This window comes from Homo sapiens, chromosome 18 (genome assembly GCF_000001405.40).
Source record: "Homo sapiens chromosome 18, GRCh38.p14 Primary Assembly".
In the NCBI taxonomy this organism is placed as follows: Eukaryota; Metazoa; Chordata; class Mammalia; order Primates; family Hominidae; genus Homo; species Homo sapiens.
Window position 1 is genome coordinate 34,783,991 of NC_000018.10, and position 16,916 is coordinate 34,800,906.

General features: G+C 37.9%; 1 protein-coding gene across 65 annotated transcripts in view; it reads left to right on the forward strand.

The window, feature by feature from the left end:
- The window catches only part of DTNA (dystrobrevin alpha), a 398,533-nt gene that overhangs the window by 290,679 nt on the left and 90,938 nt on the right, over positions 1–16,916 (forward strand). For all 65 annotated transcript variants that reach the window (XM_047437323.1, XM_047437332.1, XM_047437326.1 and 62 more), the window contains one exon: positions 10,047–10,260. In XM_047437323.1, the coding sequence (XP_047293279.1) occupies positions 10,047–10,260 (214 nt within the window). The remainder of the gene's footprint in view (positions 1–10,046; positions 10,261–16,916) is intronic.

The following is a 16,916-nucleotide window of genomic DNA, read 5'->3' on the forward strand; positions in this document are numbered from 1 at the left end:
TCTTTAAGTTGTGCTCCATAGCAGTGGTTCTCAAACTTTATTGTCTAACAAAATCATCTAAGAAGCTGATTATACCTAGGGATGCCCTGGCCACACTCTAGACCTATGGATTCAAACTCGATAGTTTGAGACCCACTTATGGCTCTAAAGAACAGCCCGGGTTTCCACCACCATACCTCTTAGCTTTAGATGGGGCTCTGAATTAACTCACATAGTAGTCTGAAAATGAAATTAAACATTTAACTTTAGGAGATTCAAATCTTTAATAAAATATAAAAACAAAGATATTCCCTCATTGAAAAATTAAGAGTGTTATATACTGGGCAGTATAAATGAATAGTTATAGACCCTGCTTTCCTCTAAGCTCCAACACAAATTTCTCTGGTTCTAGGTCAATATAAAATCTAAATGCACCATCATCGTTCTTTGCTCTGTGCCATTGCTCACTGAACCCACTTCTTCCTGGAATATCCTTCCCTCCTTATCCCCATCTATGCACTTTCTGCTGTGTTTTAGGAATCAACTTGAGCCTTACCTCCTCTTCCAAATCTTTACATAGTTTCCAGCCCATAAAGCATTCCTGTATTTTGAGCTCCTGTAGCACTTTTCTTTTTAATCTGCACTGTGGATGTGGGCTTTGGATAACACAGTGTCTTGTGGTGATCTTCAGTTAGGTCATCTGAGTGTGTCTTTCCCCATGAGACTTACAATCTTTTTTGTAGTCAGGCTCTCATATTTTGTTAAATCACCAATAACATCAACCATAATGCATTGTAGAGCCTTAAAAATGCTGGTTGGATTTAATTTCTTTGAAACTATTATGGAATCTAGCTGCTTGTTCCATTTCCCAACTCTGTGTGTATATGCATATGGCAATCTTTCTCCATATGTTACAGCCTGCATGTATGATTGATGCATGGCAACTAGTGATACACTGAAATATTCTTTTTTTTTTTTTTTTGAGATGGAGTCTTGCTCTGTCGCCCAGGCTGGAGTGCAGTGGTGCGATCTTGGCCCGGTTTCACACCATTCTCCTGCCTCAGCCTCCCGAGTAGCTGGGACTATAGGCGCCCACCACCACGCCCAGCTAATTTTTGTATTTTTAGTAGAGACAGGGTTTCACCGTGTTAGCCAGGATGGTCTCAATCTCCTGACCTCATGATCCGCCCTCCTCAGCCTCCCAAAGTGCCAGGATTATAGGCGTGAGCCACCACACCGGCCCCTGAAATATTTGATTTGAAATTGAACTAAACTCGTAATCACTGTGATACAGTCTCTCATGGATTTATAACATCATTTCATCCACTAAAGGGAAAACAAACCTCAAGTTATAGAAGAAAGCTCATATTAAGGGACAAATATATTTATACCAGACAGAGTGAGGCAAAGAATTGAAAGAATTTTTGTGAGTGGAAAATTTTTATAATTCTACCTGAATATGAGAGTAAATTTTAATGCCTCTCTGTTTGCTCTCAAAAATAAGAATAATGCCTAAAATTTATATAGTACTTTATATTTTACTCTTTTCCCATGTACATTTTCACTGTTCCTCAGAACTCTATCAGAAAGGATATTATTATTCCCATTGTACAAATGAAGAAACACTTGAATCCCAGTGTCTCAGTTCATGTTTCTCTATAAGAGAATATAAATAGTATGTATATATAAATGTCAAATCCCATTGTATACCTCTGAATATATACAATTTTTATATGCCAATTGAATATTTTGAAATCTAAAAGGAGAGAAAATAGATTATTATTGCATGCTCAATGCACTTATTTAATATCTCTATCTCCTCCCTCTCCGACACACATGTAAGTTCTGTGTGATTAGGGACCTATTTTGTACACTCCAATTCTAGAAACCAGAACAGCACTGCAACACAATAAGGACTGAATAAACACTTATTGTATGAGAGAAGTTATAAGACTAAGATGGAAGACTACAAAATGCAGCCAGTGAGCAGCTTAGGGTAATGAGTCTCAGGAACCTAGTGTCACTCCTGACATTCTCAAGGGGCTAAGTTCCTCTCCCTACCTCCTCACACCCCAGTTCTGTGAAGCCTGGCCCACATGTGAGCTCCTTAAAAGCAATTTTTTCTTAAAGTCTACTTGGTGCTTAGAATACTGAATGAAACTTTCCATTTGAGAGTTGTCGTAGGAACAAGACAATGCTTATATGCGTGTTCATCTGTTCATTCTAAGGACATTGGAACTTTGTTTGATAACTAAAAGAATGAGTCTCCATAATTAACTTTTCTACAAGCTAGCAAATGTATTTTAAGAATCTGCTATATGAAAGAACATAATATGGCACTTCAAACCCGGTGTGTAAACTAATCAGAAATACTACCTGAACTTTGTTCTTGTACTCTGAAGAGTGTAATTGCAATGGAAATTCATGCCGGGAATATTGCACTGAAGGTCAGGAAATTTACATCTAGGGAGGGGAGAACTGAATGCATTTTCAGGAGAAACTATTTATCTTTGTTGCTATGGGGATTCCTGCATATATCTGCATATCTCAAAGAGGGGAAAACAAGTCATAACAGAAACCTCAGACACCAGTCACCCTCACTTTAAGCACGGAGGGCAGGGTGGAGATTGAGGGAGCATGCGCATGGATATACACACACACACACAAAACCACACACAACACTGTCTACGCACAAGAAGATATATGTATTCCCAATAGCAGATCAACAGATTATATCCAATTTCCAGCATAACTACAATTTCCTGTTCTCCTAATTAAAGCACATCATAATGCAATGAGTGACCTTCTTAGGGATTAAGCCTCAAACCCTTCTAAAATAATATGTATATATATCCTTATACAAATCACTGTTAAACTGCATAAATTAATTTATGGTAATCAGCTTCTTGCAATACACCTCACAACCTACGAAGACATTTCAGGCTGTCTTGATGCCAAAGGACTGAGAACTACTGACTTCAAGAAGCGCTTCTTATACTTAAATGTGAATACAAACTGCCTAGATATGTTGTTAAAATGCAGATTACGATTTTCTAGGTCTGTGTGGGAGCCTAAGAGATGCAGCATTTCTAAATAGCCTGTGTTTTGTTACTACAAGTGTGATGTTGGACCACCAGTATCACCAGGAATCCATTTTACATCCTTGCAGGTGATTCCATTGTGAAGCCACAGTTAAGGATCACTATTCCATAATGACTAAAGCTAAGTCACTATAATTGTCTACTGACCTTTCTCAGCTGCAAGCCCTTTGAAAACCTTCTAAAAGTTTATAATCAGTGGTTGTCAGAATCACCTGGAGAGTTTTGTCAAAACCCTTTTCCACTCTTTTATATTTTGGACTCAGGAGGTGGTAGAGTCTGGGTTTGAGAATTTTGAGATCATCAAATGCTTTAGAAAAAGAACATCATGCTTAGATTCAGAAACTTGGACCCAGCCTCAGGGATTCAAGAAAGGCTGGCCCTGGATAAATCATAAAATAGACTAAATCTTGAAGTTGTCTTTTTGATATTTTTCTCCCCCATATTTTATCTAACTTATATGATTCTACTATTTCTAATAAAGTTTATGACATCAGCCATCTCTATCTAGATATAACTAGGTTTGTCATTTTAGCACTTTTCCTACGGATGCTTGGATTTAAGTCATCTCTGTGAATGAAGGACTCCATCTCCCATTAAAATAGTGCAAGATGTCAGAAAACACATTAAAAATATCTCTTGAGATAAACAAACTCTCCTTTACCCATCTGCAACTCTCCCCCCAACACCCGAACCTAGCCCTTTTCTACCTGAGATTGCCTGGATTTATAGAAAACCATTGAAGCTTTGTCTATTTCCATTTATGTATGTAAAGACAAATCTTAGGTCTTAATAATTAATGCCTGAAATCAACACTATTATCGTTACTTTTAAGATTCCATGAAGAACTAAATATTAGGTTAAGAATGCATTTTGTCTATTCTCGATGTGGTTATTGTTAACTAAGGAATTTCGTTATGCAAACCGTTGCCTTTCCTAGTATATTAATGTAAAATATATGCAACTGTATAGATGAGGGAATTCCTCCTATCTCCTGTGCCTAGTAGCAGGTGCTCTATTAATGGACGACTGGTTTGATAGCTATTTAGTAAAATGCGCGCAGTGCCATCTAGTGGTTCATAGTCATTATTACACAACCTAAATGTCATCTAAAATGATTTAACTAGCACAGCAGTAAGCAACATATTTATACAACTGTCAGACTTTTAAAACAAACTTCTTAATAACTTCTTAATGAATCTCAACTTAGCATTTCTCAGTGTCACTATTTAAATAAACAAAAGGCTTATGTTACTTAAATTTCTCAATAACTAATGTATACTGAATGCTTATTATACAATGCTTATTATAAGCACTATGTGGAGTGCTTTATGTGAAGTATCTCATTTGACCCCCCCAAAACAACAATGTAGTAGAGAAAATAGTATTGTCCTCATTTTACAGGCGAGGAAACTGAAACCTAAGGAAGTTAAGTGACTTGCCCAAGGTCATAGGGACAGTCAGTAGGGGACCCCAGCCACTGCCCCGGTTCCTGCACCTTCTGCACTATGCTTACACCTCCCAAGGTAGTCGCCAATGAAATAAAGTTTCCATGAAACCTTTGTGAAAGATAGCCTCCTCACCAGGTTTCTAATGACCCGATATGGTAAAATCAACTTAAACTCCACTAACTCAAAATTTATGACAACAAAACTAAGTGTCTGCTTTTGTGGCTGCAATGCACTTTGTGATTCTTTTACTTCACCCACATAATACGTCATCAAGATTATGGGTTGATTAATTTATTGAAATTGGGATACTTGGCTAAAATTTAGTTTTGGACTCACAGATCTTATAAATTAGTAGTAGAATAGTATGGCTTTAGATCAGAGTGTATTTAGTTATTTTATCACAAATAGCTCATTTCTTGATCATCTATTATGTAAATACACGTTCTCTTTTAATCTCACTATAACTGCCTCTGGATGGCATTCGTTTCCTCATTTTAAAAAAGGAATAATACAATGTATAAACAAAATATTATTACATTTTATTTTTATTAATAAAATTTGCCCAGTTTTGCAGTTATTTCCAGAGCCAGGAATGAAACCTTAATCTCTGTGGCTGCAAAATCTGAATTCTTTCCACTATGCCACCACTGGAAAATAAGGGGTACAATGTGCGTGACTGCAGTTTTTTCTGCATAGTACCACCTTGTAGACAAAAATACCACCATCCCTTACTGGAACTAAAACAATATGCTCCAACTACTTCCCACTGTGTGCCTGTCCGTCTCCGCTCCTTTCTTCCCTTAAAGTCAGAAATGACATTTTTAAGCTGCATTCCTGATCATGTTGCTGTCCTACTTAAAACCCATGTCTTCATACTCAGCATAAAGAGCCAAATCCTTATTGTAGTTATGGTGCTCCTGCAACCTTATCTTGTTCTGGCCCAATCAAGACCATATCGTAATCCCATTTTATACCTAGCATGCTATATGTCACAGTATGTCACTATTTCTGATCACCCGTTTGTGTGATTGTGTGAGTCATGTCTGTATTCCCACCAGACTGTTAGCTCCCATAGGCAGGAACCACATCTATATTGTTTGTATTGAGTCCTCACAATCTACCATAGTGTTTGCATATAATTATGAAAACTAGTTTTACTTAAATCATTTTTAATTATCTATTCTCACAGTTAGCCAGAATTATTTTATTTTTCATGAAATATTTTTCTTTTACGTTCCTTATATTAGGACCTTCAATATGTAAGCACATAAATGCAGCATATTTATGTTTAATAACTTTCATATAATTTCTAGGTATTTGATTATAATAATAAACAACTATTGTCTCCTACATGACATGCCCTATTCCAAGTGTTTTACAGGCATTATTTTATTCAGCTGTCATAGTAATCATCCGAAAGTAGATGCTATTTTCAGTTCCACTTTTCTAACATGAAGATTCAGAGAAGTTAATTAGACTGACAGTATACCTAGGATTCAAACCAGTGTCTCTGTGATTCTTCATGACTATGCCTTATTGCATTTTAGAAAGCAAATGCATCCTTAGAAAACCCTGTTTCACTGTTGAGTCATTTCTTTGTCATTCTCTCATTTAGTCAAAAGACATTTACCAAGTTCCTATGTGTAAGGATGTGTAAGGCAGTGTGAGGGGCACTAGGGGTGTGAACAGTTATCACAATAGACACAGCCTTGTCCTGTGCCACATGCAACGCAGAATGGGAAACAGACAAACTGTTGGTCTACACAAGAGTGCCCACTACATGCTGTGATGGGGAAGGACAGAGCTCTAAGGTGGTGCATGCAAGGGGTATAAAACCCGGAGACAGGGTTTCTGATCCAGCCCAGAAAGATATCCTTGAGGAAGTAATGTTGACGCCAAGGTATAGTAGATGAGATGTAGATGAGAAGTACACAGGGGCTAGATGAAAAAAGAAAAGAAAGAAAAAAAACTTCAATCCTTGTTTAGATTTCAAATTAATGGGAAGTTATTAAAGGACTTTAAGCAGCATACTATATATATATATATATATTTTTTTTTTTTTTTTTTTTTTGAGACGGAGTCTCGCTCTGTTGCCCAGGTTGGAGTGCAGTGGCGCAATCTTGGCTCACTGCAAGCTCCGCCTCCCGGCTTCACGCCATTCTCCAAGCAGCATACAATTTTAAGCAGCATACAAGTGATATGTCAAATTACGGTTTAGAAATCACACTCTGGCTGCAGTGAGTAGAAAGGGAGTACAGAAAGAATGAAAAAAGAACTGACTCAGCCAAACAGTAAGCGTGATAGCATTGGGTAACGAAATTGGGTGGTGGCAATAAAGGTTCATGGAAATGGTGGGATTACAGTGATGTTTAGGAGATATACAGTCCATAGGACTAGGTCATTGATAGAACCCAGAAAGTAAATCTCCCTGGAGGGAGAATAGGCAGCGGGAGGATGGTGGCATTCACCAAGGAAGGGAATCCCAGAGCCGGCAAGGGGAGAGATGAGTATGGGCTGCTCACCCTGAGGCTGAAGTACCCAAAGAACCCTTACATGGGCATGCCTATGTGGGAACCCTTATGTGGGCCACTCCTGTGGTCACTCCCATGGGCCTGGATAATTCCACCACTGGGAATTCTAAAAGGGTTTCCTATTCCTTACAATGGCTCGTCAAGAGAAATTTAAGCATCCAGATTCCCTCCCTTTGCCAACAGCCATTTAGCTTTCTTGACATATACCCATCTCCCTCCCATGCTCAAGTTCCCAGTCCATGCTCCTCTCCCCAGATGTCTGTTCCACATCATCCACAACCAGGAACTAGGTGAGGATAGGTCACAGGGACCAAGCAGGACGACAGGCTGGATGTCATCAGCACTGCTTTCTTTGCATCCTGCACCCAGACACATCCTGATGACTAGATCCAGAAGATTCACAGATCAAATCTATAGGGAGTAATTAGAGGAATCCCAGCTCTTCCCAACTAGAATTTAAATAAATAAATAAATTTAGTTTATAAATGCCATTTCCCTGGGAGTGTTTTGCTTGCTAGATAGAAGAGTTGGATAAATAACACCAAGAAATACAAATAATTTCCTTGTTGATTAATTCTTGATATACAGAAAAGCTTGCAAATTTGAAATCACTTAAATCTGAATTTTTCCAAAACTAATAAATATTTATTTTAGTTGGTATGTGATTTGTACTCATCTGCTCCAAATCAGAGATATATTGCAATATATTTTTCTTTTGACATGACTCACATTATTTACTTGTTCATCTATAATGCATTGTCTGCTAGGTACCAGGAACTACCACTTTTTACTCTATGCATTTTTCCATTTTAGGAATGCCAGCCCCATTTCATAGATGAAGGAAGTGAGACTCTAAGTCTTAGAGGTCATGCACTTGTCGTAGAAGAGCCAGATTTGCAACCTAGGTCTTTGGACTCCAAGTCCAGTGCTCCTTGAGCACAGGTATCTTCCCTTCATAACATAAAACATTATTTTGAGTAATTGTTAAAATTAACAGCAAAAATCCAAGTAAAGGACACAGTAACGGTTCTATGTAACCTGTTGTTTTTTTTTTTTTAGTTTAAGGATTTGCATAATCTACTCATCTCTTGGATCTCAATGTGCACACAAAGTTAGTTATGAGAACCATACTTTAGGTTTTTGTTTTTCTTTATGCCTAATTTGAAAATAAGAATGTCTGAACAGATTGCTCTCTCTCTCTTAGGGTTCTGTGGTTACAGATCCTGCAGTTAAACCTAGCCTGGGAAAAGGGTCTGACTTCAAAAGACTGTTGGCTAGTTGGCTCATTTGTTATTATAATGGAAGAAATTGGTGACAAGTTCTCCTATACCAAAAGTCAGAAACCATAGATCTGTTCTGAAAAGCAAAAGTAAGAGAGAAGTCAAGAAAAAAGTCACATAGCTCAATTCATAGTAGAAGCTGATGTTAGTTTTGCTTATTAGGTATATAGCCAGGAGAGAGCAATGAGGTAGAAGACAAAAAAATAGGGAGCTGTTAGTGAAAAAATATATATACAGTGCATATTTCTCAAAAACGGAAACTGTTATATTTCATTGAGAATAAACAAAATATTTATTTGCAAATGCAAAAGCATAATGAAAAGTCAACCTTAAATGGTGAAGATGTGGAGGAACTGGAACTCTCGTACACTGCTGATGGGAATGTAAGATGGTTCAACTACTTTTGGAAAATACTTTGGAACTTTCTTTAAAAATTAAACATACACTTACTGTGAAACCCAGCCTTTTCATTTCTAAGTATTTACTTAATATTTTTAATGATTTTAATATTTTGAATCCCTCATTGTCTAAGAGAAATGGAAGCCACATATCTATACAAAGACTTGTACGTGATTGTTCATAGCAATTTTATTCATAAACAAAAACTGAAAAACAACCCAAATGTTCATCAACAAGTGAGTTGATAACCAAATTGTGATATATCCATATAATGGAATACTACTCAGCAATAAAAAAGAGAAAACTATTGATACTTTCAGCAATACATGTATGAATTTCAAAACAGTTAACACTAAGTAAAAGAATCCAGACCCAAAAAAGAGTGTTTACCATATACTTACAGTTATTAAGAACTGAAGTTTGCAACAGAAAGCAAATCAATAGTTGCCTGGAACAGGGAATGAGGATGGATTGCAGAGGAGCATGAGAAAACTTTTGAGGGTGAGGACGTGTTCTTTATCTTGGTCGTGATCATGGTTTCTGGGATCTCATAACAAGACCTCAGGGCAAATAGGGAAGAAAACAGAAACAGCTTTCTTGACTACCCTAGTGAAAGTAACCATGACTTAAATCAGCTGGTAATAATGTAGCCAAGAAACTTCTTGTTCTTGACCAGCCTAGTTCAGTGATGTGTGACTTAGTTCTGCTGCTGCTGCAGTGTATACATAACTTTTCCTTTTTACCTTGTCTTCCTGCCTACCTTAACTTTCTTTTTTTTTCTTGTTTCCAACAGCATACTACTAAAAAACACATAAATAAATGAAAACATTTTAAATACTCAAATATAATTTGGACATCCTTTCAAACACTAGAATTTAAATGTTGGCCTTTTCTTTTTGAGGGGGCAGGGTGTGCAATGGGGAAATAACTTTTAAACCGATAGACTTGGATCTGAATGCTAGTCTTGCCATTGACTCCTCTTCTACTTTTGCATTTGTCAGTTCAGTTTCCAGATCCTCAGTTATCTTATGTGTAACACAGGGATAATAGCTGTATTTCAAGAGTGATTGTGAAGATTGGAAATAACTATCTATTGTGGTGGTCAGTAAATCATTTGCTTGCTATTATGTAATGCACATCAAGTCTTAGAGATAATGCACAGCCTATGTTCATTTACTTATGTTGACCCCCTGCAACAGCTGCACACATGTGAGATACCTAGAAAAAAACAGGACAGAGGGTCATGTAAACTGATGTATTTGCCTTCCATTACTTTGGGCTGATGTGTTAACTCTGCTTTAATTGTAGTGCACCTGGTGGACATATGGAATGTCATAGAAGCATTGCGGGAAAATGCTCTGAACAACCTGGACCCAAACACTGAACTCAACGTGTCCCGCTTAGAGGCTGTGCTCTCCACTATTTTTTACCAGCTCAACAAACGGATGCCAACCACTCACCAAATCCATGTGGAGCAGTCCATCAGCCTCCTCCTTAACTTCCTGCTTGCAGCGTTTGATCCGTAAGCACCCTCTGAATGTCTGTTCCTCTCTACATGTTTGGCTTTCACTTCCTGTCTTACTTGGTCTTTTTCCCAAACAATTTTATATCTCTCTCTTTTTTTTTTTACTCTCTTTTTTCTTACAGTGGATGCTTATGTCAGTAAAGTCTCCATGTGTTTAATATAAATTTTAAATCCTGTGAAAAAGACTAGAGAGTAAAATGGTGCCAGAGGAACTTGAGGACAATTGTATTTTATGTGCTGACCTTTAGTTATCTCATCCCATGCTTCCTGGAAGCTGTGGATGCTTGAGAGGATTGCCTGTGGTGCGATTTAATGAAGCGTGAAGTGGGAGGATCTTTTTAACTCTCTTCTTTGCAAATTGTTTAAGACAGTGTTTCTGAGGTGTCCTAACAAGGCCCTACAGCAAACAAGAAAGAAATTGAAAAGGGTTTCTTGACTATCCCAGTCAAAGTAACTATGACTTGCGTTAAATGGACTGGTCAATTTAAGTGTTTCGATCATAAAATAAGGGGATGCTGTCCACAGACCACAACTGAAGCTCAGCTTCATTTTTGTATAATTTTCCCTTTTAGAATCAGAGAATTTCAGGGCTGGCTGAGATCTTAAAGGCTGTTCGTCCACATATCTCATTTTACAGATGAAGGAAATGAAGCACAAAGAAATTGTCACTTGTTTGGTGTCTCGCAGCATGTTAGTGGCCGAGTGGGGACTTAGGTGTTCAACAAAGGTTTCTTTACCAAGGTATATGTGGATTCCCCTGAATTACATTCTCAGCCTACAATTTCAAGAGGGCTTTTTGCCAATAGCCTCCAACCTGGACGTAGTACCACCCCCTCCACTTCCACTGCTTGTTTTGAATATTAAAAAGGAAAATTGCTAACCTGACCTTTCAGCAATCACATTTTGAGATTCTCAGAAGGTTTTACTTAGTCTCATTGTCTGGCCAATGCCTGGAAGTATTTACCCCCGCAGTGGAGATGTTCCAGCCAGGCTAATGTTATTTTGCAATTCACAAAAGCTACCAGCTGTCACTTTGCAACTTAGAGTGTTAACAGAATCGTTCCTGCTCAGTTTTTCCAGTGTGCATTATTGTCTTCGTGATATTTATATTTTGAGAAATTCTTCAGTTAAAATAAACAATTTTACAACTAGCATTCCAGGTTGGTAGAGTCTTTGCTTCGGCTGTGCACACTTCAGAACGAGATGTACAGCTCTAGCTTAATCACTATAGTAACTGGATGCTGGGGCAGGTAAAGAGGACTGTGGTTCCACATGACAGGCAGCAGAGGCAGCAGAATGGAACCTGGCCATGGCATTTCTGTAGTGGCATTTCTAACCTGGCCCTGTGACAAGAGTGTGGCAGCTTTCAGATTTGCCCCTAAAGATGTCAAGAGACTTATTTGTTAGAAATGTAACAATGGAAACTGCAAAAAGAGAAATATAATATCTCACTAAATCCTGGAGTACTGCTAGAGAACTCATAAAGAATCAAAGCCAAATAATCATTTGCACCCACTCCATAAATATAGACCAGAAACCAGACTAACAATAAGGAAGGGGGTATTTTGTGAGATATATAGGATTCACACAAATATAGTTAGATTTTTCACTTTTGGTCAGAAATATTTGCTAGATCACTTCTAAATATAGAGCTATGAACGGTCTCTAAATAGCTGCTGAAAATATAGCTGAATCATTTCAAGATTGATGAAAAGCTAAGTTTGACATCTATTCCAAGGTAAGGAACAATTCACAAAAAAGTTCAGAAGAAATCTTTATTTGGTGCCTATTCTTCGTATAGATAGGAAGCCTCCTGATGTGTACTTTCAATAATCTCACTGTAGTAGATTTATAAACACATCCACATAGACAAATTTCACTGCAAAGATTTATAAACATATCCATGTAGAGATCCTACTCTGCAGACACTTCTGCGTTTGCTCCTTCAGCGTAGCAAATGAGCATAGGCAGTCCTACTGACACTCAAATTTTCCATCTGATGGCATGGAATTTTGGATATGAAATGTAAGCCATCAGGAAGTACAGCTAACTGGATATGTAATTTAGAAGTGAATATAAGAAGAGAAACTTAAGAATAAAATAAATGTTCAAATTCTATTTCTTATAATAGTAAACTCCAATTTATCCAAATGAGACCCAGCGTGGAAATCTGATGCCACTTCCTACCACCTGTCCCACGACAGAGTCCAAGTGTTTAAGAGAACCGTCTGTATTTTGGCAGACATGAATGATCCTGATACTACTAAAAGAAAGATGTGCTGTTGCTATTACAGAATCACTGAAACATTTAGGAGATTTTTCTCCCATTTGTCGTATTTTAAATGGACATATAAATAAACAGGGAAAAAATCCAAAATAAAAATTAGAGATGCCTTAAGAACCTAGACTCTGAAGAAGAGTTGCTAAAAATAAATAAATAAAAAAGAAAGGCAGTATAGTGATTTAAACTCATGAAGAATAAGAACTTGGATTCAAAGAAACTTGGCCATTTTGTGGGGGAGGGGATGGTGCCTTAAAATTCACTAGACTCCCAGGTAGTTGAACTTCGTGAAGAAAGTGGTAACCTGAGATGAGGATTGATGCCTCCTTTACTGGGATGTACTTCTGAGAGCCAGACTTACCTTCGCACAGCCATAGCTCCCCAAGAATAGCATTCCCTCTCCCACCAAAAAAACATCCGGATCTCAATTTTCATACCAGGATGCTTACTGCAGACTGTAATCAGTTTCCTGGTTGCAAGATTTCTCTCTGCTCGTTGGCAAGTCAGCCTCTCAGAAGATATGATAACTACATCTGTAGATGATTTGTACAATGTTGGGGGTGGGCAGTGGACCCCAGTGGTTTATGCTCATGCTTGCCATTCTGTCCCTGAAGACACAGTTCCTTGAGTCCAGAAGATTTTTGTTTTTTGTGACATTCCTTTTAAAAATGGCTGTATTCCTGGGAGGGGGTCACCCAGGGAGCAGTTACCAACCAACTTCTAAGCAAATCTCTCCACGGCCAGAGGTTATCTTTTTTAAGGCGTCTAGTGGAATGGATGAGTGTGCCTGAGAAGGATGGGAAAAGAGATGTCAGAAATAAGACCAGGGGCTGAGAGGGAAGAAGATATGTGAGGGAGCAGCCAGAACTTGAGCCAGTCTCTTCCTCTTGTCCCTTTCCTCCGATCACCCCAGGAACTGGCCTCCCACCTCCCCTTCTTTGCTGCCAGGAGCCTTCCGCTCCTCTGTCTCCTCCAGAATCCCCCCAGCAAACTGGCAGCAGCTTCTTCTGTCACCTCTTGTCCATATTCTATTGAGGAGGGGGAAAACTCTTTGAAGTCTTCAAAGGACCTTTAATGTTGTTCTTATTATTTTGTAGGAAATAGAGAGTAACTCAAAAGAAAAATATTGCAGAAAGTTAAAAGATGAAAATAATTCTTAAAAGCCTATAATGTGCAGCCTTTTTGAGAGGTGCAGTCACAAACTCTGAGGTTCTGTGAAGCCTTTCGCCTGTCATGGTCAAGTTGATCACCTTTCCACAGGTCCACCTCTCCTTGCACCTGATTCTGCTATTGTCTTATAGTGCATGTCTGACTGTTTATATGACTGCCTCCCAAAGACTTCTTTAGGAAAGAACCATATTTTATTCTTCTTATGAACAGCACCTGAGACCATAGCCAACACAAGAATGAATCAATGAATGAAAATCCAAGGTTGATCTTTCTGAGCTCTTGTCGTACTAATTTCTTTTAACTATTTTTTTTTAAGACCGAGTCTCACTCTGCCGCCCAGGCTGGAGTGCAGTGGCACAATCTTAGCTCACTGCAGCCTTCGCCTCCTGGCCTAGAGCAATTCTTGTGCCTCAGCCTCCCGAGTAGCTGGGACTACAGGCGTGCACCACCACACCTGGCTAGTAATTGTGTTTTTAGTAGAGATAGGGATTCACCATATTGCTCAGGCTGGTCTTGAACTCCTGGGCTCAAGCAATCCACCTGCCTCAGCCTCTCAAAGTACTGGGATTTACAGGCATGAGCCACCATGTCTGGCCAGTTTTCTTTTAATTCTTTTTCTGAGATTAAGTCTTCCTTGATCTCCAATATATTACAAAGACTAGCGGGTCCCAGTCACCTAGATTCAGACCCTCTATTTTTACTTCTGCTCCACAGAAAAAAAAAACAAGTGTTCATGGTTACCAATGTTGGTGATCCTATTTTTACAAAAGACTTCTATGTACTCCTCTCACCTTCTCCCTGCTTCCCCAGGAAACACTAAAAACAAGTTGTCTTGACTCAATCTCATTTCAATTCAGTAGTATCTTCTTTCGTAAGACAGTTCTTCATAAAGTAGATTATGTGACTCTAGCCTTGTTTTTAGCAAATAACATTATCATATATACTCAGTCACTCAAAAATCATAGTATGACAGTTAAAAATATTAAAAGGAACAGTGATTTTCCTATTTTCAGAGGTCAAGCTATAGTCTTCCATGATAATCATAATAATTGTATTAAAAATAAGATGTACTCAGTATTTACTATATGTCAATAGTCTTACTGACTTGGCCCTATATTATCATGATTTTCCAGTAGAGGAGATAGAAAGAGGTTAAATAATTTGCAGGTCATACAGCATCATACTAAATGAGGTAAATGAGGGAAAACTCATTTTGTTTCAGGAACTGTTTTAAGCTCAGCTCTATTCATGCTTTCTGTTTCACTTTTTAAAATGAAAATTAATTAACCTTTTTTCTCCCAGACTTGTTTTGCTTATTACAGGATATTATTCTGATGCTTACATTCCTAATCTTTCCAGTTTCTGGTATTTATACACATTTGAAAGAGTGTATGTGGAAGAAATATTTGGACTTAACATGTTTTACATTGTAGCATTAGGATCAGTTTTATGACAGCTACCCAGAACTACAAGTCCATCACATAATAGTCTTACGTAGAGAATACAAAATCCTGGTATTTTCCTCCCTGTTTGCCATATTGCACCTTACTGGGCCATTTGAACACCCATGCCCACTGCTGAGCCTTCCAATGCTACAAAAAAGACCACAGAACTATTTCAAATGCATGGATATGAAATGCCTGGTACTCTGCCAAAATCCTTCTGTCTTTCGAATTTAAAAAATGATTCGATATTTAATGCAAAATGTACTACAAAGTACACAACCATTTCTCTGCACCAAAAAAAGTATTGTTCATGTTTGAGACTATGTAGATTTGTGAAAGCAAAGAAGAAAAAAAGAGAAGAGTTATAAAAAACCAAATGTTCTTCTCTTTTATTATCTATACAGCCAAGACTAGATATTTAAAACAGTGTTTACTTGGCGTGGTGACTTTTTTCTTTGCACGTCTTAAATTTCAAGATGTCCATAGAACATTCTCCTCTACTAACTAAAATCTTGTTGTAGTGAAAAATACTTTGTTCAAAATTTCTACATCCTGCTAAAATGGAATCACTTTCCAAAGAATTTTCACAGCTGTAGATACATTAAATATCCTAATGTCACTCGTTGTTTATCTGACATACTTTGAATGAGTAGCAGGTAGAATTTCAAGAGAGATGAGGAATTTCAAGGGGTATGGGGGCATTCCAACAGTATTGACCCCTTCTGTTCTGGAGAAACCCCTAGCAAACTCACCTGCCCCGGCGCTATAAGGAGTACTTTTCCCAGATGTTTTGCTAACATTGTGGAGGGCCCAGAGAGAAGCCAGATCCAAATAAAGGGTTTCTGTCTGTTCACAGGTTAACTTCACTACGCCCCAAACCAGAGTTAATTATGCCTGTGAACACTTCTAAATTCAAAGCATCACATAACTGCACAATCTAAAAGAAACAGCCATAAAGCCAATCATTATCATCGTATTCAAACACGTTATATTTCTCAATATAAATCTCAAGTGGTAAATCAGAAAGTTGCTTCTCACTTGTGCATTCATTAATTGAACTGACATATGTAAAGAGCTTGCTATGTGGTAGGTGTTATGATAGGCTGGGAATAAATGATAAGACAAGATGAAATGAGATGAGATACCCTTGGAAAATGGGTTGTATTAAAATTAACTGTTTCTGACCCTTTATCTCCAACATGTTGTGAGCAAATGAAGAGTAGAGACCACACCTTTTTCATCTGTATATCCCCAACCTCTAGGACAATGCTAATCAATATTTATTGAGTGACTAAATGAGTGATCCATATGAGCAAAATAATTTTCAGATAAAAAATGTGTTATAGTAGAGGCATGTTGTGGAAGCAGAGGGAGGAAGCAATTCTCTCCGTTAATTAAGCCACCAAAATGTGTGAGAAAGAGCAGTTTGAGTGCTGTGCCTCTGCTTATCAAAAATGCTTACCAAATGTTTTTGTGAAATATGTTGGTAAAAGAAGAGCTTCTGATTTTAGTACTCTTAAATAGAGAAATAATTCCTTCTGTCTGTTTAAGAAAGAATCAGTCAGAATTGAATCTTACTTAAAAGAACTTCAAGTTTCTCATGGGATTTTGTAACTTCAAACAGGAAACCCTGTTGGCAATTCGGAGACAATTTACCTCCTGTACTTAGCATCCAGCCCTACCGATCAATATCTATTTGTTGTTTTATCTTCTTGTCAAAAACAAATATTCTCTTCCCTGCAACTTTTCCATATAAA